Source organism: Homo sapiens, chromosome 1 (genome assembly GCF_000001405.40).
Source record: "Homo sapiens chromosome 1, GRCh38.p14 Primary Assembly".
NCBI classification, from domain to species: domain Eukaryota; kingdom Metazoa; phylum Chordata; class Mammalia; order Primates; family Hominidae; genus Homo; species Homo sapiens.
In genome coordinates this window covers 226,417,387-226,440,721 of record NC_000001.11, presented here as the reverse complement: position 1 = coordinate 226,440,721, position 23,335 = coordinate 226,417,387, and the positions used below count along the sequence as shown (strand labels likewise).

The 23,335-nt window shown below is 47.0% G+C and overlaps 1 pseudogene, besides 6 other annotated features; it reads right to left on the bottom strand.

The window, feature by feature from the left end:
• Positions 1,328-2,184, bottom strand: RPS3AP7 (RPS3A pseudogene 7; annotated as a pseudogene).
• Positions 7,205-8,057: an enhancer, noted in NCBI's record as "H3K4me1 hESC enhancer chr1:226620366-226621218 (GRCh37/hg19 assembly coordinates)". NCBI's record gives its function as "activates a minimal SCP1, AML or CMV promoter by ChIP-STARR-seq in naive H9 embryonic stem cells {active_cell/tissue: H9 hESC(naive)}" and the evidence as "EXISTENCE:reporter gene assay evidence [ECO:0000049][PMID:30033119]".
• Positions 10,951-11,832: an enhancer, noted in NCBI's record as "H3K4me1 hESC enhancer chr1:226616591-226617472 (GRCh37/hg19 assembly coordinates)". NCBI's record gives its function as "activates a minimal SCP1, AML or CMV promoter by ChIP-STARR-seq in naive H9 embryonic stem cells {active_cell/tissue: H9 hESC(naive)}" and the evidence as "EXISTENCE:reporter gene assay evidence [ECO:0000049][PMID:30033119]".
• Positions 16,029-16,078: a silencer, noted in NCBI's record as "silent region_1885". NCBI's record gives its function as "represses an Ori minimal core promoter by ATAC-STARR-seq in GM12878 lymphoblastoid cells {active_cell/tissue: GM12878}" and the evidence as "EXISTENCE:reporter gene assay evidence [ECO:0000049][PMID:35858748]".
• Positions 22,031-22,582: an enhancer, noted in NCBI's record as "NANOG hESC enhancer chr1:226605841-226606392 (GRCh37/hg19 assembly coordinates)". NCBI's record gives its function as "activates a minimal SCP1, AML or CMV promoter by ChIP-STARR-seq in naive H9 embryonic stem cells {active_cell/tissue: H9 hESC(naive)}" and the evidence as "EXISTENCE:reporter gene assay evidence [ECO:0000049][PMID:30033119]".
• Positions 23,124-23,268: an enhancer, noted in NCBI's record as "145 bp 1:226605227 sequence used in MPRA reporter constructs". NCBI's record gives its function as "activates a minimal TATA-containing promoter with rs2695239 allelic activity by MPRAs in C283T melanocytes {active_cell/tissue: C283T}" and the evidence as "EXISTENCE:reporter gene assay evidence [ECO:0000049][PMID:36423637]".
• Position 23,196: a transcriptional cis regulatory region, noted in NCBI's record as "rs2695239 or 1:226605227 MPRA-significant variant associated with a GWAS melanoma risk locus at 1q42.12". NCBI's record gives its function as "allelic transcriptional activity by MPRAs in C283T melanocytes {active_cell/tissue: C283T}" and the evidence as "EXISTENCE:reporter gene assay evidence [ECO:0000049][PMID:36423637]".

Here is a 23,335-nt window from a genome sequence, read left to right as displayed (position 1 = left end):
GGGCAATGTAGCAAGACCCTGTCTCTACAAAAAATTAAAAAACTAGTCAGGCATGGTGGCAGTCACCTGTAGTTCTAGCTACTTGGGAGGCCGAGGTGGGAAGATCATTTGAGCCCAGAAGTTCCAGGCTGCAGTGAGCTATGATTGCACCAGTCTCTGCACTCCAGCCTGGAAGAGAGACCTTGTCTCATAAAGAAAACAAACAAACAAACAAACCAAAGATTAGGAATAGCCAATAAGTACTTGAAAATATGTTCAACATCATTAATCATCATGGAAATGCACATTAAATCTATGATTAGATACCACCACATATCTTCTACAATGACCAAAATATAAAATAATAACAATATCAAGTATTGATAAGGATATGTGACTATTGAACTTTTGTACTTTGCTGATGGGAGGATAAAATGGTACAACCACTTTGGAAAGCAGATGGCTAGTTTCTTACCAAGTTAAACATACATTGTATCATATTACTCAGAAATTTCACTTCTTGGAAATTACTGAAGACACATGAAAGCATATAAACACAAAAATATTTGTACATTATTGTTCATAACTGCTTTATCCATAATAGTCCCAAGCTGGAAATTATATATCCATCAAATTTGTATTTTTGTAAAAATACAAAAATTATCTGGGCATGGTGGTGTGCTCCTGCAGCCCCAGCTACTTGGGAGGCTGAGGCAGGAGAGTCACCTGAACCCAGGAGATGGAAGTTGCAGTGAGCTGAGATCACGTCACTGCACTCCAGCCTGAGAGAAAGAGCAAGACTCCATCTCAAAAAATACAATACAATAAAATAAAAAATAAAAGTATACATATTCAATTTTTTTTCTAAATTTAAGCAAGGAAAATTGGGGAAAAAAGCCAAACCTGCCACCTGCTAACAATTAGGAATGACTATAACCAGAATTGGGTAAAGCTTTAAAACACACTGAGGAACATAAAGGAAGGCTGGAACAAAGGGAATAAATATACCATGTTTTTGGAGAGGAAGACTCAACATAATAAAAACTTCAGTTCTCCATAATTTACTTGATAAAGGGGATGCAGTCTATTACAAACACCATTTTTTTAACCAGACAAACTGATTATAAAGTTTATAGGAAAAAATGAACATCAACATATGAATGAAAAACAAACCCAAAAGGTGTGGTATATTTGAATATTCAATGGAATACTACTCTGCAATAAAAAGGAATGCAACATCATGGGTGAATCTCAAAAACATGCTGAGCAAAAGAAGCTGGTCAGAAAAGAGTACACATTATTTGATTCCATTTCTGTGAATTCTGAAACAGGCAAAACTAATTTTCTTTCACAAATAAGACTTTTTTATTTGCCACTATTGTAAGTCCTAACTTCAAACAGATTCAAGGACCGTGGTTCATATCCATCAGCTCGTTCAACTTTAGCACCTGTCTCGTCCCCAGTGGCTTTTCCAGAACTGCTACCTTCACCATGAAGCTCCATGAGTTTTCCCAGTTCAGACTTGGGCTTCTTCAGCATTTTTACTTTGCTAATGAAGACATCATGGAGAGGACAAACAGATTGGCAAGCCTTTTTATGTCTTTTCCAATGCTGTCTGCAATCAATTTATTGACCACTTCTTTCAGGTCATTTGTCTGCGCCTCTCAGGTCATGATTTCCAAAATCTTCTTCCGGATTTGGCGGACTTGTTGATGCTGAGCATAAGAGGTCTTCCATATCGGATTGTTGTGTTTCTTAGCAAAACCAACACAGAACAGACGAAGCACGTAACCGTTGGTAGTCTTGACATTGACAGGAGCTTCAATCATTGTCTGCCATTTTTTGACCATGGAGCACATTTTGTCACAGGTCAGATCCATGCCATGGAAGTTAGTCAGGCAGTTTTTGCCCTGAACATCTTCAGTAATCAGCTTGAATTTTCTAAATACAACATCATCATTCTGCAAATCAGCAAGACTCACTTCAAACACACAACCCTTGAGGCCATCTGATACATTTGGGTTCCTTCAGTCCTGGTGACTAGCATCTCTCCAATATTTCTTGTGAACATAGCAGGTGCTTTCACATCATACCAATCTTTCTTAGAAAATGGATCAACCACTTTCTTCCTGGCCCCCTGTTTGCCACCTTTCTTAAGGTGCTTATTCTTGCCAACTGCCATGGTGCTGCTCAGAGAGCCAAAAGAGCTGAGAGAGCCAAAAGCAAAACTGACTTATAGTGATAAAAATCACAGTAGTGGTTTCTCCCGACAGGATGGGAAGGGTGTTGATTGGGCAGGGGCACAAGTCAATCTTTTGGGGTGATGGAAACGTTCTATACCTTGATTGATTCAAAACTCTTTGAACTGTATGACTAAAATGAGTCCATTCTGTTGTATTAAAATCATAGCCCAATAAGGATGATTTTAAAACCACACCGAGATAACCTTCACCTATCAGACTGACAAAATTCCAAAAATTTGATAACACTCTCTGTTGGCAAAGCTGTGGGGAAAAGACACTCTTAGATACTCCTGGTGGTGGTATAAATTAATGCAACACTTACAGAGGGCAATTTGCCAAATCAGTCAATATCACAACCACGTACTCCCTTTGACTTAGCAGTTACACTTTTGGGAGTTTATCCCACAGGAATACTTACATATATGCAAAATAATGTATGCACAAGTTTTTTTGATGCAACATCATTTGGATTAGCAAAAGTTTGAAAACAAACTGAAGGCCCATCAATAGCAGACGATTTTTAAAAATTGTGGTATTATCATGCCCTATCACAAAGGGCAGCTATACAAGAAAGTGAGGATTTTTTATGTACTGATAAAGATCTCCAAGGTATGTTGTTAGGTGAAAAAGGTAAGGTATACAGCAGTATATATGTGCAAAAAAGGGGGAGAAAATAAAAATATATTTTCACCTGTTTGTATATGCATAAAGAAACTCTGCAAGCATACACATGTTATTATAGGATAAACCAAAGAATATAATGGAAAAGAGGAGGGCTGAAGGGAAACTGGGCAGATAGAGATATAAAGAAGATTCTTCACTGTTTGTTTGCTTGTTGGTTTCATTTACAAGCCCTACATGTGGCTTCTGATTCATTGATTACTTTCTAAATGTATTTTTTTAGTTTTGAACCATGAGATGTAGCATCTATTCAGAAAAGGTTAATAAAACATTTTTTAATTTAGTAGTACAGAAAATTACCAAAAAAAAAAAAAAAAGAAAGAAAGCAAGAAAAGAAGGGGAAGGGAGGAAAGGGAAAAATCAATGAGGAAAAAAGGGAAGGAAAAGGAAAAGAAAGAAAGTAATCTAATCACACCACCCAGGAACAACCAGCATTAACATTACGTGACCATTGGCACACTCAAAGAGAAGAGTTTGGCCCGGGTTTCCCCTGGAATTGTGTCCAAGCTGTGATAACTCCCACCCAGGGAGGGGGCAGAGCTGACGGGAGCCTTACGCTGGAGGCTCTCTCACCCAGCTCTCTCAGGCATTGTACACATAACCAGTGTCCGGGGCTGACAGAGTTCCTTTAGCAAGAAAAGCCAAGCTTCGCTAGCTCACCTTGCCCCATCTGTTATGCTTGGATGCCAGCCACCTGCAGGAACTTCAATTATTTCTGCAGTTCCCCAGGGGCGTCTCAGATGTGTTAACAAATAAGTCCTGGGTGTCATGTGCCAGCTACCACTCTTCCTCCTACTGCTGCTGTCCAGGTGCAGCCTCCTTTGGTGATGGCTGCTGTTGGGACCTTGGCTGACTACCGAGCCTTGTGAAGGTACACTGCAGCTTCCTCTGGGATCAAGCACCACCAGCACCCAGTTAGCTCTGCTGGTACAACCAGTACTGCCACCACTGGTGTGACTGATATGCTAGACCCCTCGGGCTGCCTGGGCTGGGCAGTGGTCTGTGGCAATGTAGGATGGACAGTTTCTTCCTGGGATGTTTTCCAGTGAGGTCCTAAAGCAGGGCTGCTTGTGCACTGATGATGTGGTGACGTTGTAGTTGATCCTCAACATCCATTCCGCCCCAGATGAATAGTCTAGCCCAGTCCCAATAACTTCCTCTAGATGTCACATCTGCAGCTGCCAACACTGAGGATGAAACATTAAGAGATGGCAAGAGCCTGGGTCCTTGGTGAGCCCTGGAATCAACTCACCTGGAGTCTGATTAGCTCTGGAATTTCCTCTTTTCTTTTTTCTTTTTTTTTTTTTTTTTTGAGACAGGGTCTTGTTCTGTCACCCAGGCTGGAGTGAGGTGGCACAATCATGGCTCACTGCAACATCAACCTCCTGGGCTCAAGTGATCCTCCTGCCTCAGCCTCCTGAGTAGCTGGGACTACAGGCGCATGCTGCCGTGCCCAGATAATTTTTTTTTGGTTTTTTTTTTTAGTAGAGATGGGGTCAAGTTCTGTTACCCAGGCTTGGACTTTTCCGTTACATGAAATAAGATTAAATAGTTTTAGCTCATTTTGGGTTGAGATTTTCAATTTGAGCAATTGGAAAGTCCTAATTGAGTCAGTTGAATTAGAGGATTTTCATGAATATATCTCTTTAGTCCTCTCTTTTCCTTGGACTGAGACATGGTCCACGAAGAGCAGAACCAGTGAAAATCCGAATCACAAATCTCTTACTGGGCTCAGAATCCCTCTCCTCCTTGGACATCCAGGGACAACCAGGAAACCACTCCCAGGAGAAGCTCTGACTTGGTGGCGATTGGACAGTTGGTGGGTCAGTACTGGCATCATTGGTCAAATCCTGGCCCAGCAGCCAGTGTGCTTAAGCCATGTCTTTAGACTTGTGACACAGAAAGGGCAAAGGCTTTGGAATTCTGACCTGCATTTAAATCTTATTTCTGTCATTTACTGATTTTAGACCTCCAGCAGGTTGTTTAGCCTCCTTAACCCTTAATTTCTAATCTGTAAAATGGAAGAAATATAAATCGACCTCAAAGAGTTTCTCCATGTATTCATTCCTTCCCTGAGTGTTTTTGAGCACTGCCCACATGCCAATGTCCTAGGCACTAGGATATATCAGCGAAAAGCAAATGAGTCTTAGAGAGGAGTGTGCGTTCAATCAATGCCAGCTTCCTTCCTCTCCATTTACGTCAGTTGTAACCTCCTAGAGGTCAGGAAGCCAGGTCTGGGGAAGTCCAGGCAGGCATATGCCTCTCCCACTGACCCATTGCTCCAACCTGGCAGAGAGGAGACCCCTAGGATGTGTAGATCTGCACACCAGAACACATCAGTACCTGGGGCCAGGGGTGGTAGGCTGGCCAGCTGCCACCATGGCCCGCTCTAAGACACCATGGGGTACCCATGCCAGACACTGGCTCTTCCTGCCTGGGCCCAGACTCCTGCTGGGAAGGCTGGTGGCTGCGATCTTGGGATGGGCTGAGAACAGTGAGGCTAAGAACCCACAGGCCAGAGGCAACGGTTGTGAGGCCCAGGCACCAAGACCCCTCATATGCTCCACTGTCCCATTAGACTTCACTTACAAAAGCACAGATCCAGTCAGGCATCGTGGCTCACGCCTATAATCCCAGCACTTTGGGAGGCTGAAGCGGGAGGCTGAAGCAGGAGGATCATGTGAGTCCAAAAGTTTGAGACCAGCCTGAGCAACACGGCGGGACCATATCTCAACAAAAAAATGTAAAAATTAGCCAAGCAGGCCTATAGTCCCAGTTACTCGGGAGGGAAGGTAGGAGGATTGCTTGGACCCAGGAAGTCAAGGCTGCTAGTCGTGATCTCGCCACTGCACTCCAGCCTGGGCAGTAGAGTGAGACTGTCTCAAAAAGCACAGACGCAAAGAGTAAATCATGGAGAATTTCAAGGACAGCCACCACAGAGCACTAAACCTCAAGTGTGGGGCCTTGTGCAATGCGCTCACCCATGAAGCAGGCCCTAATAACTTGGGGACATAATTATAGGCTCTCAGAAAATGCTTGTTAATTAATTTAAGCCTCTTGGTGAATTTAAAGCAACTGCAGATCTTTGTGGATATCTGTTAGTTTTACTGGACTGAGACAATGCTTCTCCAATTATGGTTTCATCTGCCCCCTTCCGTTAAAAGGCAGATCCCTGAACCCTACCCCAGACCTTCTTAATCAGAATCTATGGGAGTGAGGCCTAGGAATTTCATTTTTACATCTCATGATCCTTCTAGGCTCTAAAGATTGAGAACAAGCCAAGCATGGTGGCTCACACTTGTAATCCCAGGTCTTCAGGAAGCTGAGATGGGAAGATTGCTTGAGCCCAGGAGGTCAAGGCTGTAATGAGCCATGATCATGCCACTGCACTCCAGCTGGGCAACAGAATGAGATGTGAGACCCTGTCTCTTTTTTTCTTTTTTTTTTTTAATTAATGAATTTATTTATTTAGAGACAGGATCTCACCCTGTCACCCAGGCTGGAGTGCAGTGGTGTGATCATAGCACACTATAACCTGGAACTCCCAGAGACCCCCGTCTCTTTAAAAAATAATAAATAAGAATAAGATTGAGAACCACTGGAATCAGGCAACATGTGTAGGAAGCATGGGGTTTCATGATGGACTCTCCTTTCCTGTCCCCATTCTGCCATGACTTCATTGGCAGCAACCCTTCTGCTTCGTGGAGGTGATGCCTGACCAGCTTGGCCAGCAGGGGTTCTGTGAAGGGCGCAGGAGATCACGTATGTGGAGGCCACTGACCCCATGCCTGTGGACACACATGGCTCCACTCAGGAGCCTCCATGCTGGAGCCAACGGGACATGGCCCCTCTGCCCATCTCACATGCTGTGCATGCAGGTCCCGGGCCTTGGCTCTTTAGCCCCAAGTCTTCACTGAAGAAGTATTATTTCAGTTCTGTCCTGCATTTCCCCCTTCCTCCCATAATCCCCTTGTGTAGTGCTGGACATGCTCAGCACACAGGAGGCTGATGGGGGTCCCGAGGTGGAGACCCTGACGCTGAGCATGGGGTCAGGATGAGCCGCGTGCCTGCCCCTCTGCTAGGTCGCAGCCCATCAAGGCACCTGGTTGTTTCCGCCTTCCTGAGAATCCATGGCAAGAAGGCAAAGGGCTGGTCCTGACCCTCGGTCCACCATGAGGGAGCTCAGAATGGTCTTTCTCCATATCTCAAACCCCTCCCAGAAGCCGGAGGAGAAGGGGGAGGAAAGAACGAGCACACAAGCTCCCCAGAGAAATGCTTTACTGCCCACTGTAATTCTTCTCAGCAGATGTTTCCTTGGATTCTATGAAAGCCTGTTTGCATCTGACAGACTAGGGCAAATCAATAAGGAAACCTGGTATTCCCAGGGCACTGCCTGTGAAGAAGGGAGCGCAGCTGCTCCTACAGACTCCCCAGCAACAGCTCTGAAGCCTGCTGCCACCCTTCAGACTGCCGACTAGAGAATGAAGGTCTCTGGCCTCTCCTTTCCTGCCACTGCAAACAGGCCCCGTCCTGTCAGTGCACCTAGGGCCTGAGGTTTAGTCAGCTCCCCATGATGGAGTCTGGGCTACCCCCGTCACTCCGAAGGAGAAGCCATTCCCAGTTCCCCTCACCTCATCTGCCCGTGGACAGATGATGCAGCCCCCTCTAGGGGTTTCCCCCAGGCTCCGGGACCCCAGTGTTTCTCCTTGCTACAAGTCCAAGGCAACAGACAATGCCACAGCTCTGTCCTCAGCTCTGCCTGCCCCCTCTGGAAGGAAGACACAGAGCCTTGAGGCTCACTCACCTCTCACTCCCAGCACCCCAGCCCAGAGGAAGATGTTGGGTCGAGTTCACCCTACGAGTCCAGAGAAATTCCCCTCCCTGCAGAGGTAAGCCAGCAGCCCCAAAACAAAGACTGGATATCCCTCCATAGGAATAACCTAATTTGACTTCCATCCTCGTTCAGCGCTGTCTCCAGCAGGGGCCCCGCCTTCATTAGTATGATGGAGTCTGGAGCCTGAAGCTGCCCGCCAAGCTTCCAGCTAATTGGAAATTGATGACAACCTCTTTGTGAGGGATAAACAGGCTCTGCCGGCAGCCTGTGGGACTTGGATCCTCAAGCAGGGCTGTGTGTCCATTTGCCCAAACCGGGAGCAACACCAAACATACCCTCTAGGCCCCCACCATGATCCCTGTGCAATTCCAGCTTGTGCAGAGCAGCATGACATTCTTAACCAGGAGATATGGACAGCCCACTTACTTCCCATTTATAGTTGGATTTAAATGTTTTATTTTCATATATATATATATATTTTAATGTTGCTTAATAGTCTGTTTTTATTGTATTTTATTTTATTTTTTAATGATACTTTAAGTTCTAGGGTACATGTGCACAACATGCAGGTTTGTTACACATGTATACATGTGCCATGTTGGTGTGCTGCACCCACTAACTCATCATTTACATTAGGTATATCTCCCAATGCTATCCCCCCCACCACCCCACAACAGGCCCCGGTGTGTGATGTTCCCCCTCCTGTGTCCAAGTGTTCTCATTGTTCAATTCCCACCTATGAGTGAGAACATGTGGTGTTTGGTTTTTTGTCCTTGTGACAGTTTGCTGAGAATGATGGTTTCCAGATTCATCCATGTCCCTACAAAGGACATGAACTCATCCTTTTTTATGGCTGCATAGTATTCCACAGTGTGTATATGCCACATTTTCTTAATACAGTCTATCATTGATGGACATTTGGGTTGGTTCCAAGTCTTTGCTATTCTGAATAGTGCCGCAATAAACATACGTGTGATGTGTGTTTATAGCAGCATGATTTATAATCTTTTGGGTATATACCCAGTAATGGGATCACTGGGTCAAATGGTATTTCTAGTTCTAGATCCTTGAGGAATTGCCACACTGTCTTCCACAATGGTTGAACTAGTTTACAGTCCCACCAACAGTGTAAAAGCGTTCCTATGTCTCCACATCCTCTCCAGCATCTGTCATTTCCTGACTTTTTAATGATCGCCATTCTAACTGGTGTGAGATGGTATCTCATTGTGGTTTTGATTTGCATTTCTCTGATGGCCAGTGATGATGAGCATTTTTTCATGTGTCTGTTGGCTGCATAAATGTCTTCTTTTGAGAAGTGTCTGTTCATATCCTTTGCCCACTTTTTGATGGGATTTTTTTTTCTTGTAAATTTGTTTGTGTTCTTTGTAGATATATATGTATATTTAAACTCTTAAACATGGTCCAAGCAAAGTATTGACTTAATTTAACAATTAGCCATTCCAAACTTAGGCATATATGCCATGAAATTCTTTGTTTGCTTGTTTTTTTAAAAAAAAAATATTTTTTTGGCCGGGCGCAGTGACTCATTCCTATAATCCCAGCACTTTTCAAGGCCGAGGTGGGAGGATCACTTGAGCTGAGGAGTTCAAGACCAGCCAGCAAGACCTCATTTCTACTTAAAAAAAAAAAAAAAAAAAATCAGCCAGGCCTAGTGGCACATGGCTGTAGTCCCAGCGACTTGGAAGGCTGAGGTGGGAGGATTGCTGAAGCCTGGGAGATCGAGGCTGCTGTGAGCTGTGATTGTGCCACTGCACTCCAGCCTGGGTGACGGTGACAGAGCCAGAGCCGGACACTGTCTCAAAAAATAAAAAATAAAAAGTTTTGTTGAGGTAGAATTGGCAAATAAAAGTTACACATGTTTAAAGTGAATTGTAGAATGTTAATATATACATTTTGGGGGGTAAAAGTGCAGGTTTCTTACTTGCATATATGGCATAGTGGTAAAGTCTAGGCTTTTAGTGAACCCGTCACTATGGTGAACATTGTACCCAATAGGTAATTTTTCAGCCCTTACCCACTGCTTATACTCCCATCTTTTGGAGTCTCCAGTGTTTATTATTCCATTCTCTGTGTCCACATGTACCCATTGTTTAGCTCGCAAATACTCCATGAAACATTTGTTTTCTTTTTTGAGACGGAGTGTCACTCTGTTGCCCAGGCTGGAGTGCAGTGGCGCAATCTCAGCTCACTGCAACCTCCGCCTCCCGGGTTCAAGCAATTCCCCCTGCCCCAGCCTCCCAAGTAGCTGGGATTACAGGCGTCCACCACCATGATCGTCTAATTTTTGTAACCATGAAACTTTAAGAGTGCCACCCACCGGCCACCTAACCGAGCAGCTGGTCTATCAGTGACTTCACAGAACTCTCCCCCACTAGGATGCAATTCCTGTTCGTGCTGGGGTTACCACTGCCTGCTGAGGGCCTTCCAGAACCAGAACCAAGCTGCCCTTAGGGTGTTACAATGAAGCTCCTGGCCTGCAACGGTGTGTTTGGGCATCTGATTGTCTGGTGAGTGGAAAAGGCTTGGCTCAGCACCCCACCACGACCACCAAGGGCATAGATGATGAACTGCCAGCCAAGGCACCATCTATGGTCAAGGAACAGAGCCAGCACTGCTCCGGGGCACCCATCCCAAGGTCACCATGCCTCGCCAGCTCTCTCACCACACTGCCCGGCAGAGTCTGCAGACAGGACAGCCTTGTGGAACAGATCTATGGCCAGTAGCTGACTCCCTGATGAGAGTTCCTGGACAAAGGCCCCAGATACTTGCTGACAGAGAAAGACAGGCATGCTGTAATGATGTGTTGCAGTGAGTGCAAATGTGCCACCACCACTTCTGATCTCCCTGTGCCCCGCGGGGATCCCCAGGCCTCTATCATGAGGCCGTGATTCCTCAAGGTCAAGACATCAGCACTGAGCCCCCAGTGCCTGGTGCATGGGTGTCAGGCTGAGGAGCCAATCCCATCTGATCATGTCCCAGTCCTCTGCTCAAAGCCAGTGCTGCTGTTGGGGGTGTCACTTAGCAGTGCATTAAACGAGAGTGGGTTGTGAGCTCCCAGGAGCCCCTGCCCCTAGAAGTCCTATTGGCCTGTGTCCTAGGCCTGGAGAGGCAGGATCCTTGTTCCTCAGGAAAGAAACTTCTGGCTCAGACCCCGAATGGCTGCAGAGAATAGACAGGCTGCCTGGCAAGGAGGGCAGCATTCCAGACATCCACTTTTTTTTGAGATGGGGTCTCTCTCTATGGCCCAGGCTGGTCTAGAACTCCTGGACTCAAGTGATCCTCCTGCCTCAGCCTCCCATGTAGCTGGGACTACTGGTGAGCACCACCACACCTGGCCAATTTTTGTATTATTTGTGGAGACGGGGTCTCATATGTTGCCCGGGCTGGTCTCGAACTCCAGGTCTCAAGCAATCCCCCTGCCTCAGCCTCCCAAAGTGCTGAGAGCCACCATACTCAGTCCAGACACCCCACTGTTAATAGGCTAACAGCACATTGCCCACCTGGAGAAGTGACTGTGCCCAGTTAGTCCATCCCCCAAGCAGTGGGCACACCGGCGGCTGCCTGCCTGGGCCTCCCTCCCTGTCCCAGACATGTGTCATTCATCCCAGCCTACCAAAGAGGTGACTCAAGGGAGGGAGGACCCTTTTGGCTCGCTGTGACATGTGCCCCCAGCACACTTCCTGCACTCCTCCCTCCCCCGACCCCTGTGGCTTCTCTCAGTGAGACAGCCTCTCACTCCCTCTCCCCTTCCCCCACGCTCTCTCCCCAGCTCCCTTCTCTCTAGGGGCTCAGCGTCTCTCTGCCTTGGCTCTTGGCTGAATGATTGAACGCTTTAATTTATTTGCCAGGAGATGTCTTTACAGCTCTGCCCTCAGTAATTCACACAGCAGTTGTCTGCTAGGATGTGTATAATTCAGTGCTGAGAGGGCTCTGGGATGTGCGGACACGAAGGAGCCCAGGGAGACACTGCTTGAGATGAAACTACTGGAAAGGAGGCTTGGAGAGATCAAAGAGTGCTGGAGGAGAGGTGCGGGTAGGAAGAGTTCTGCCCCAGGCGGGCGCTAGCCTAGTGCTTCTCCACACTGGCTGCACATTGGAGTCACCTGGGGAGCTTTAAAAATTAATGATGCCTGAGCCCCACCCCAGACCAATTAAATAAAGCATCTGTATTTTCAAAAAGCTCCCCTGGTGATTCTAAAGTTCACACAGGGATGAGACCAACAGGCTCAGCTACAGCTGCTGGGGAGGGAGAGAAAGGATGGGAACACACTTAGGCAAAGCAATGTTAGGTTGACCACACACCTGCCCTTCGAGGCCATGCAAACGTCCAGCAGCAGAGAGCCAGGGCACAGTGGTGTAAACCGTGGGCATGTGTACCTGGCTCTAAGTGAGAAGGGTGTCCCTGAAAACTCAGCATTCTGGAGGCAGAGTGGGGGTCCCTCCTGCTCAGATGCCCCAGAGAGTAAGGCAGGGAGGGGACACCAAAACAGCCCGGGCCTCATGCCTTTGCCTCTGTCCTTCTTAATCTCACCCTGCTCCCTGCACCGCTACCACTGTCTTCACCTTCTAAATCCTCCCTGTTCACAAAGACTCCTCTTAAATGGCACCTCCTTTTCACTCCACAAGCAAAGACAGAGTACCAACTATGCACCATGCCCTGGTTTCTGGGAAGGGAAAGATGGAGACATCTGGGGCCTACCTGAAGCTGCTCACAGACAGGTGACCCCCGGGAACCATGCACTCCTTACAGTGCAGTAAATGCTATCAGGGCCTGGGAGCCCAATGTTGGGGTTCTTCATCAACCCTGGGCTCTGCCTATGGGGCTTTAAGGTTTTCTGGGAGGAGATGACATTTGAGCTGAGTTTTCTTTTTTTTTTTTTTAAGACAGAGTCTCGCTCTGTCGGCCAGGCTAGAGAGCAGTGGCACGATCCCGGCTCACTGCAACCTCCGTCTCCCGGGCTCGAGCAATTCTCCTGCTCAGCCTCCCGAGTAACTGGGATTACAGGTGTGTTCCATCACGCCTGGCTAATTTTTGTATTTTTAGTAGAGACGGGGTTTCACTATGTTAGCCAGGCTGGTCTCAAACACCTGACCTCAGGTGATCCACCCGCCTCAGCCTCCCAATGTGCTGGGATTACAGGCGTGAGCCACTGCGTCCAGCCTGAGCTGAGTTTTAAAGGACCATGGAGCTCCCCAGATTAATCAATATCTTCCTTCTCCCTGTACATGCTGCACCTTTTCTCTAGCAGGTGCCTTGTAACAGTTAGATGCCTATGTGGCCGCACCTGCAGAGGTGAGGTGCTTGGGTGCAAACCAGGTATCTTATTCACTTTGGTAATAGGTGATGGGCCTACTACTATGCCTGGTGCACTGTAGGTACTTGATGAATGACTGTTGAACTGAACTAAATGCAATTACGGTTTGCACTTTTGTTGGAGAGGGAACAGCAAGAGCTAAGGCCTTGCCAATGGCTCTATATGTGGGCCCCTGTGGGCCCAGGTCCCCGCACCGCTCTGCTGTCTGGACTTTGTGTGCTCCAAGCACTGGTAGGAGAGCATATGGTAGCTGAAATGAGGCCCAAAGGGACTGAAGTTGGGGCCGCTGTGGATGCTGAAGAAAGTGAACTGCAAGAAGGTACAAGGAAGGCCAGGATGTGCAACAGTGGGCCTGAGGACTAAGTGTAGGGGTAAGGTCAGAGGCCAGGTACCCACCCTGCAAGGAGAGTCAGGAGCCAGGGTGCCAAGGACTGCCTCCCTGGAGGCCACCTAGTGGGCAGGGCTTCTGTGCATGAGGGACCAGGGCTGACTCCATGATGGGCACAATTCCCAGGAGGGATAGGAATGAGGAGACTTGTGTGGGGCTTGCAGTGTTCCGTGAAGAAAGGGAGAAAGGAGACAAGAGAACACGGGCAGCAGTCTGAAGGATTTCGGGGCTGCCTGTGGAGCCAGGCACAGAAGCGTGTACCTGTAGTCCCAGCTACTTGGGAGGCTGTGGCAAGAGGACTGCTTGAGCCCAGAGGGTGGATTGAGCCCAGGAGTTCTGGGCTGTAGTGCGCTATGCCAGTGGGGTGTCCACACTAAGTCTGGCATCAATATGGTGACCTCCTGGTGAGAGGTGACAGCGTGCTGGCAGTCCTCACAGCCCTCGCTCGCTCTCGGCGCCTCCTCTGCCTGGGCTCCCACTTTGGTGGCACTTGAGGAGCCCTTCAGCCCACCGCTGCACTGTGGGAGCCCCTTTCTGGGCTGGCCAAGGCCAGAGCCGGCTCCCTCAGCTTGCAGGGAGGTGTGGAGGGAGAGGAGTGAGCGGGAACCAGGGCTGCGCGCGGGGCTTGCGGGCCAGCTGGAGTTCCGGTGGGCGTGGGCTTGGCGGCCCCGCACTCGGAGCAGCCAGCTGGCCCTGCCAGCCCCGGGCAATGAGGGACTTAGCACCCGGGCCAGCGGCTGCGGAGGGTGTACTGGGTCCCCCAGCAGTGCCAGCCCACCGGCGCTGTGCTCGATTTCTCCCGGGCCTTAGCTGCCTTCCCGAGGGGCAGGGCTCGGGACCTGCAGCCCGCCATGCCTGAGCCTCCCACCCCCTCCATGGGCTCCTGTGCGGCCCGAGCCTCCCTGACGAGCGCCACCCCTGCTCCATGGTGCCCAGTCCCATCGACCACCCAAAGGCTGAGAAGCGCGGCCAAATGGCGCGGGACTGGCAGGGAGCTCCACCTGCAGCCCTGGTGCGTGATCCACTGGGTGAAGCCAGCTGGGCTCCTGAGTCTGGTGGGGACGTGGAGAACCTTTATGTCTAGCTCAGGGATTGTAAATACACCAATCGGCACTCTGTCTCTAGCTCAAGGTTTGTAAACACACCAATCAGCACACTGTGTCTAGCTCAGGGTTTGTGAGTGCACCAATGGACACTCTGTATCTAGCTACTCTGGTGGGGCCTTCGACAACCTTTGTGTCTAGCTCAGGGATTGTAAACGCACCAATCAGCGCCCTGTCAAAACAGACCACTGGGCTCTACCAGTCAGCGAACGTGGGTGGGGCCAGATAAGAGAATAAAAGTAGGCTGCCGGAGCCAGCAGCGGCAACCCTCCTGGGATATTCTTCTGCAGTGTGGAAGCTTTGTTCTTTCGCTCTTTGCAATAAATCTTGCTACTGCTCACTCTTTGGGTCCACGCTTTTTTTATGAGCTGTAACACTCACCGCCAAGGTCTGCAGCTTTACTTCTGAGCCAGCGAAACCACGAACCCACCAGAAAGAAGAAACTCCTAACACATCCGGCCATCAGAAGGAACAAACTCCAGACGCGCCACCTTAAGAGCTGTAATGTAACACTCACCGCGAGGGTCCGCGGCTTCATTGTTGAAGTCAGTGAGACCGAGAACCCACCAATTCCGGACACACTGGGAGCAAGGGGCCACCAGGTTGCTTAAGGAGGGGTGAACTGACTCAGGTCAAAAACGGAGCAGTTCAAAACTCCCGTTCTGATCAGTAGTGGAACCGCACCTGTGAGTAATCACCGTACTGCAGAATGGGCAACATAGTGAGACCCCCATGTCTAAAAATAATAATTAAAAATTTAAAAAGAAAAGGATTTCCTGTGGAGGATTTTCAAAATACACTGGCCTAGGTTTCTGTCCCAGAGATTTGGATCTGGGCCAGGGCCCAGGTGTGTATTTGAGGGGTAATAAATGAAATTAATACATGTACAGTGCTTAGAAGGGCTCACATTATCATGCAAAAAATGTTAGCTCTGTTATTCATTGTTATCCAAAAAGTCTATTGAGTATCTACTCTGTGCAGCACCGGAAATACACTGATAAGCCCACATCTCTGCTCTTTCAGAGCTTACAACGTGCAGAGGAAAAAACAAACAACAAAAAATAAAAAAAAAAAATTGAAACTAGCAAATTCAAAGAGTGCTATATCCAGTCTGCCCTCAAACCCCTGCCTTTTCTGCCTCCTAGGACTATCCTCTTCTCTCCTCCCACTGCCACTGTCCTGGTCCAGGCCGCCATCACCTCTCACCAGGATGGCTCCAACAGCTCCCAATTTTCTCTGCCTGCAGCCTTGCAGCTTTCCTCACAATGCAACCAGAGGGATTGTCTAAAAGGCGCATCTTCCTCCTCTCCTGCCAGTTTCCAAATCTCTTCTCCAAGTGTGCTGCCGGCAAATTAAACAAGACAACCAACCCAGGCTGGAGTAGATCTTGCGGGTTTCTTTCATCAACATCACACCTCATTAGGTTGATTTGTGTGTTTCCAGAGTTGCCTGTGCTGGGTGAGTGTGTGTATTTTGAACACCATCTAGTGGACAATAGGGCAATTTATTTCCAGGCTATGGAATGAACTCCCCAAGCCCTAGTCAATCTTTCGAACTTCAAAGATTTAATAAGTAGCCAGATTTTAAAAGCAAAGATTGTTCTTGACCCCATAACAAGATCAGAGTCAAAGGCAACTTGCAGCCTGCTTCAGAAGCTCCACTCTGCCAATAGGCCAGAGGGAAAGGAGGAGTAGGGTGGTGCCAAATAGAGGTAACTTTGGCCGTTAAGATCCTTTTGTCCTCACCCCAGATGCTGGTTCCTTGCTCTCCCTGTAGCTTCAGATTCTCAGCTGGTTTCCCATCCCTTTTCCTAAAAGGACAACAGCCCTGCCTAGCAGATTTCAAATTTCAGTCTACCAAGCACTGCTATTTCGCTCTCTCTCTCTCTTTTGTCTTTTTTTAAAGAGACGGAGTCTCACTCTGTCACCCAGGCTGGAGTGCAGTGGCACAATCACAATTCATTGCAGCCCTGAGCTCAAGCCATCCTCCCACCTCAACCTCTGGGACTACAGGCCCATGCCACCATGACTACCTAACTTTTTAAAATTTTTTGTAGAATGGTTGGGTGTGGTAGCCCACATCTGTAATCTCAGCACTTTGGGAGGGCAAGCCAAGGGGATTGCTTGACCCCAGGAGTTCAAGACCAGCCTGGGCAACATGGCGAAACCCCATCTATACAAAAAATTCAAAAATTATCCTGGCATGCTTGTAGCATCCTGCGCACGCCTGTAGCCTCAACTACTTGGGAGGCTGAGGTGGGAGGATCAGTTGAGCCTGACAGGAGGAGGCTGCAGTCAGCCAAGATCATGCCACTGCACTCCAGCCTGGGCAACAGAGCGAGACCCTGCCTCAGAAAAAAAAAATTGTTTTTGTCGAGACAGGGTCTCTCTGTGTTTCCCATGCTGGTCTCGAATGCCTGGCCTCAAGCAATCCCCCTGCCTCGGCCTCCCAAAGTGTTGGGATGACATCTGTGAGCCACCACACTTGGCCCCCAAGCACTGCTATTTCCCATGGTAAATTAATAAATTGGTGTCCTGATTTTCATATCAGTCTCCCAATGGGTTCCCAATGGATTCCTTCTGGATACGTGGACAAAATTGAGTTACGAGACTAAGAAAGCTCAGTGTCAGACCCTAGAACATGGTGAGCCCATCAAGGTCAGGCCACCTGGTCATTCCTTGAGCACCAGTCAACTGGCCTCCCTGTGGAATGGCCATCTTGTCACCATCACAATTACATCTCGAGAATGTGAGTGCTCAGAGCATGGCCTCTTCTCAGGCTGGCAAGTCTTGACCAGAGGGCATTCATTTAATATCAAATATTTATGGAGCTTCCTCTGTGGGCCTCACTAGAGTCTTAACATGCATTATCTTTCTTAATCTTCACATTGGCCTCCTAGGTACATACTACTATTATCTCCATTTTACAGGTGAGCAGATGGGCCTAGAGAGATGAAGAACTTTGCTTATAGACACAGAGCTAGCAAGAGGCAGGTCCTCCTGGGATTTCACAACCTGGGCAATTTAACTAGCATGCCTTGTGTGACTCTGGAATGAGGACCTAGATTATCTGTCAGGGACCTAGTCAAAAGCTTTCTTCTTCCCTTAATTTCTGAGAAAACTCTAAGCTGGACTTGTTGAATGGCTAGCTCTGTAATCTCCCAGAGGCTCAATCCTTACTTTTAACAAGGTCCTGTTGATGAGTGGCCCCAAAGAAGCTGCCTGTTAATGGGCACCAGCACCCACTGGGCACAGACCCTTGGGAAACCATAGTTTGCGGTTACAGGGTAGGGCTGTTAATTTATTTCCCCTTTAAGGATGCCCAGAAAGAAGTGATCCTATGGAGAGACACTGTTCCCTGGACCAAGGACACCTGCCCTTCCATGGCCCTTGCTTACACTATAGGCAGACCCCTCAAGCAGATGGGCACAGTGCAATGGATCCTGCTTCATACTCCAGCAGACTCACTCACTGCAAGGACAATCAGACTGCCCGAGAGCCCTGCGCTTCGCAACATGTTGCTTCCCACCTCCAAAGACAGACCCAGGGCAGAAGTGCTGCGGAGAGCTTCCGTTGGGTTTGTCTGCTCTTGGTTTGTTGTTTGAAACTTTTTATTGTGAAATTGGGCCAAGCACAGTGGCTTATGCCTGTAATACCAGCACTTTGGGAGGCCGAGATAGGTGGATTGCTTCAGCCCAGGGGTTTGAGACCAGCCTGGGCAACATGGTGTAACCCCGTCTCTACAAAAAAAAAAAAAATACAAAAATTAGCCCGGTGTGTTGGTGGGTGCGTGTAGTCCCAGCTACTCAGGAGGCTGCGGTGGAAGAATCAGTTGAGCCCAGGAAGTTGAGCCTGCAGTGAGCTGAGATCCCGCCACTGCTCTCTAGCCTGGGCAACAGAGTGAGGCCCTGTCTCAAAAAAACAAACAAACAAAAAACCCTTTTATTATGAAATATATGAATGTGAATATTATATATAACCCTTTTAAAGATTAGTAATAATATAGTCATGTACTCATCATCAAGTTTAAGAAATGGAATAGTACCAATAAGTTTAGAGCTCCCTGAATTTTCTTCTCCAGTTGTATTTCCCTCCATCACCCCAGAAATAACCACTATTTGAAAATGTATGTTAATCATTTCCTTGCTTTTCTTTAATGTATTACAATATATGTATGCAACTTTAAACAGAGTATTGTTTCATTTTTCCTGACTTTGAATTTTGTATAAGTGGATCCACACTAAATGAATTATTTTCTGAATTACTCATTTCACTTAGGCTTGTGTTTTGAGATTCACATGTATTGACATGTGGGCTGTAATTCATTCATTTACATTGACATATGGTATTCTATTGAATGACTATACTACAATACACTTATCTGTTCTACTGTTTGTAGATATTTGGGTTGTTTCCATTTGGGGCTCTTATAAACAATCCTACTATAAACATTTTGGCAATCTTCCTGTCTTCCTGGTGCCCCTGGAAAAGCCTTCCTAGGATAAACCTAGAGCTGGAATTACAGTTCAGAAAGGACGATCAAGTTCACATTTATTAAGCAATGGCTGGCTATGATTTTATGCTCCCCTAGGCTCTACATGGGGTAGTTGCCACTGCTCATTTATTTTGCAAGCATTTATTGAGTTATTTTTGTGCCAATCACTGTGTTAGGTATTAGGGTTTGAAAGATGAGCAAGATACTGCCTTTGTCATAAAGGAATTCACAGGTTAGAGGGTACAATGGACTGAATGTTTATGTTACCCCCAAATTCATAAGTTGAAATCCTAACCCCCAAGTGACAGTTTGGAGATGGGGCTTTTGGGAGGTGATTTGGCCGTGAGGACATAGCCCTTGTGAATAGGATTAATGCCCATATATAAAAGAGACCTGAGGACTTTGGGAGGCCGAGATGGGCAGATTGCTTCAGCCTGGGAGCTCCAGACCAGCCTGGGCAACATGGCAAAACCCCATCTCTACAAGAAAAATACAAGTTTTTTTCCCTTTCATCATGTGAGGTTACAGTGAGAAGGCGCCATCTATGAGGAAGTGGCCCTCACCAGACACTGAATGTGCCAGCACGTTGATCTTGGACTTCCCAGACTCCAGATTGTGAGGAATAAATTTCTGTTGTTTGTAAGCCACCTGTTCTATGGTATTGTGTTATTACAGCCCAAACAGACCAAGACAGATGGGAAAGCCAGATATGTGAGCAGATTATTGTAAAAAAAAAAAAAAAAAAAAAAGGATTCAGTGCATGGCAGGGGAAAATCTGTGAGTTTAGATTAGGCAGCTCTGCGCAAATGCCAGTGCACTGTCTTGGGTTCTTAACTATAGCTGGCTGGTCAGCTTTGAGAGAAGGGCCTCTTGGGTCATGTCCACTGGACACAGTCCCATTGCTGATTCTGAATAGGGGCCTTGTGCTTTGTGCCTGTCTGTGGTATTATCAAGGTGACCAACCCTGTCTTGGGTCAACCCTGCTTCCTGAGCTGGAATCATCACAGGCTTGCTCGTGGCTACCTCCTTAGATCCCTACCCATTTACCGTCTCACGATTATGGAATGCCTCTTTCCAGAACACTAGCCCTCAACTCATAAATTAATTGTCTCTGCTGGGCCAGTGTGAGGAAGGCATAGGCCTTGGGTGACCTTTGGAAAAGCAATTACCTCTGGCCTCAGCTGTAAATCTAGCAGACCAGGTGTGTCTCCACAAACCGTCACTGTTTTAAAAGTCTGGGGGTTTTGGGCCAGGAGCAGTGGCTCATGCCTGTAATCTCAGCGCCTTGGGAGGCCAAGGTAGGAGTATCACTTGAGCCCAGGAGTTAGAGGCTACAGTGAGCTATTGACCACACCACTGCACTTCAGCATGGGCAACAGAGCAATACCGTCTCAAAAAAAAAAAAAAAAAGTCTGAGGATTTTGGCACATGTAATTGTATACTAGAGAACTAAATTCAACTCAATTATTTTTCAATATGTCAGATAACAAATCCTACCACAATAGGGTTCTACTGTAATTCAAAAAAATCAAATCTTAAAACATTAAATTATTTGTGTTTAGTTCTAGCTGAATTTTCTGCCCCCTGAAATTGTAGAGAAAGAAGAATCATGGAATTTTGATGCTATTTTTTTTAAAGAAGAGTTATTGAAAAATAAATCATAACAATTGAAAAAAGTTTCTGTGTAAATATGGTCAGGAAATCTGCACTCTGGTTAGAATTATGTAACAATTTCCAAAGCAGCTCTGTTTCATAAAAGCAAAGATGCCCAGCTGGGTCGTAATGCAAATGTGGTTTCTTGAAGCTATTTCCCTCTTGGATTGGTAAACTATCTGTAGCTTTATTTTCTTTCCTTTCCTCCTTTATGGTGTGTTTAAAAGAAGAAAGGAGTAAAATAAGATCCACTCAGTCATTAAGAAAACAAGGACAAAGGTTCTCAAACTATAATCAAGGAAATTAAAAAATCTACATTTCTCATGACTTTGCTGTCATTTGAGAAGTCAGCTGGCTGTGGCCGCCGAGGCTCCCACATCAGCCCCAGCCCTACAGATCAAGCTGTGGTCTCCTGGCATTTATTTCCAGGGTGTCTCATTCCATCACAACAAAGCCCCATTCTTGACAGAAAATCAGCATCCAGGACAATTGCGTGGGCTTGGAGGGAACATAATTTTTGGAGGCAATTGCGAGTTTCTGTATGCTGGCCTCATGTTTTAAAATAACTGGGCTTATTTGCTCGGTGAGAAATGTACTCAGTAGAACTGGTCTACGTGGGCAGAATTGCGGCGGTGGTGCCAGGCAGAGCGCTCTGCACGTGGCAAAGTCAACCAGCATCAGCTGAACTGAATTAACTCAATGCCACCCAGTGGGCTCTGCCTTTCATCATGCCCTAATGGACTTGCCCTGACTTTTTTAAAGGCAAGTCCAAAAAATTGGTTTGACATATTTATATACATATTCAATCATTCATTCATTCACTCAACAAATGTTTACTAAGTACCAACCTAGTACCTGTGCCAGGTACTAGGCTAAGTGTTAAGAATACAAAAGACTTCACATGTTAAAACTTAACCTATATTGCCAAGTAGGAGGGCTGTGCTGTTCATTCATTTTCTCATTTATACATTCATTCACCAGGCAGTGGGGATATAAAATGAGTAAGACTCTCGAGCAGAAAGTGTCAGTCCTCAAAGAATTTCTAATGGAATAAGGAAATGTAATTGTCATGGTAAGGACTGTTACAGAGGGTTGCCTTTAATTAATGTATTGTTTATTTCTTCTCTGGAGAGGCTGTTTTTTCTAAGAAGCCTGTCCCAGCTGTCCCTTTGGAACAGATCTATGTTCAAGTATTGTCAATCACTTAAAAAGAGCCAGGCATGGTGGCTCACACCTGTAATCCCAGCAGTTTGGGAGGCCAAGGCGGGCTGATCATCTGAGGTCAGGAGTTTGAGACAGCCTGGCCAACGTGGTGAAACCTCATCTCTCCACTAAAAATACAAAAATTCGCTGGGCGTGGTGGCGGGCGCCTATAGTCCCAGCTGCTCTGGAGGCTGAGGCAAGAGAATCGCTTGAACCAGGAGGCAGAGGTTGCAGTGAGCCAAGATCACGCCATTGCACTCCAGCTTGGGTGACAAGAGTAAAACTCCGTCTCAAAAAAAAAAAAAAAAGAATCTCATGGCTATACCCTTTCCTCCACCCTGAGCCCCAGGAGGGCTTTGTGCCCAAGATGCTCCTTTAGTGCAAACCATACATCTCTCCCTTGCAGAGGCTTGGGAAGCAGTCATCAAAGCAAGGGGAGAGCCCTGGGGTCATCCATGAGGTCATGTTTATGCCAAGCTCTGCTCCTGGCTTGAGGGTTACAGTAAAGAATGAGAATGAGACCCAGGGCTCCTGCCTGCAGGATGCCTGCCTTCTGGGGTAGTCACCAAAGTGTTAAGGGGGTCGGATTGCAGGTGTTAGATGTTCTTCTTTATACTTCAAAAGAGTGTGGTTTTGTCTTGTTTTCACAGACTTTGTGCATTATTTATATAATCAGAAAAATAGACAAGGCTGTTTACATTGTGGTTTTTTTTAAAAAGGAAAAAAAGAAAAGAAGAGGAGGCAGTATGTGGTAGAGGCAGCCATGGAAACCAAGCCCCCTCTGCCTCTCACACCTCACAGGCCTCTGGCTTCAATCCACCCACCACAGGCTCCCTTAAGCATTTCTTTCTTCCTTCATCGTGCGAGAACATCTTTTTTCTCTAGTCTCACTCTTTTAATAAACCAGGCAACATAATGCATGTTAAAGAGCATTTGGAAGTTAAGAGCAAACAAGGGAAATAAAGTAAGACATGTTTATATCACTTTTTTAAAAAGACTGTGAAGCTTAAAGCAAACAACATTGGGAATTATTTTTAATGGGCACAAGGTGATACAGGAAATTCACAGCAGAAGAAATTGCAACAGCCAATGAAACATAAAAAGATATTCAACCTTATTGCCAACCAAAATCTACATAAATAAAAATATTATGGTGGCTTATGCCTGTAATTCCAGAACTTCGGGAGGCCAAGGAGGGGGGATTGCTTGAGTCCAGAAGGTCTACCTGGCCAACATGGCGAAAAAATTAGCCAAGCGTGGTGGCACGAGCCTGTAGTCCCAACTACTCTGGAGGCTAAGGTGGGAGGATCACTTGAGCCCAGGAGGCTGAGGTTGCAGTGAGCTGAGATCACGCCACTGCACTCTAGCCTGGGGGGCAGAGTAAGACACTGTCCTTCCCAAAAAAAACATAATTGAGGGAA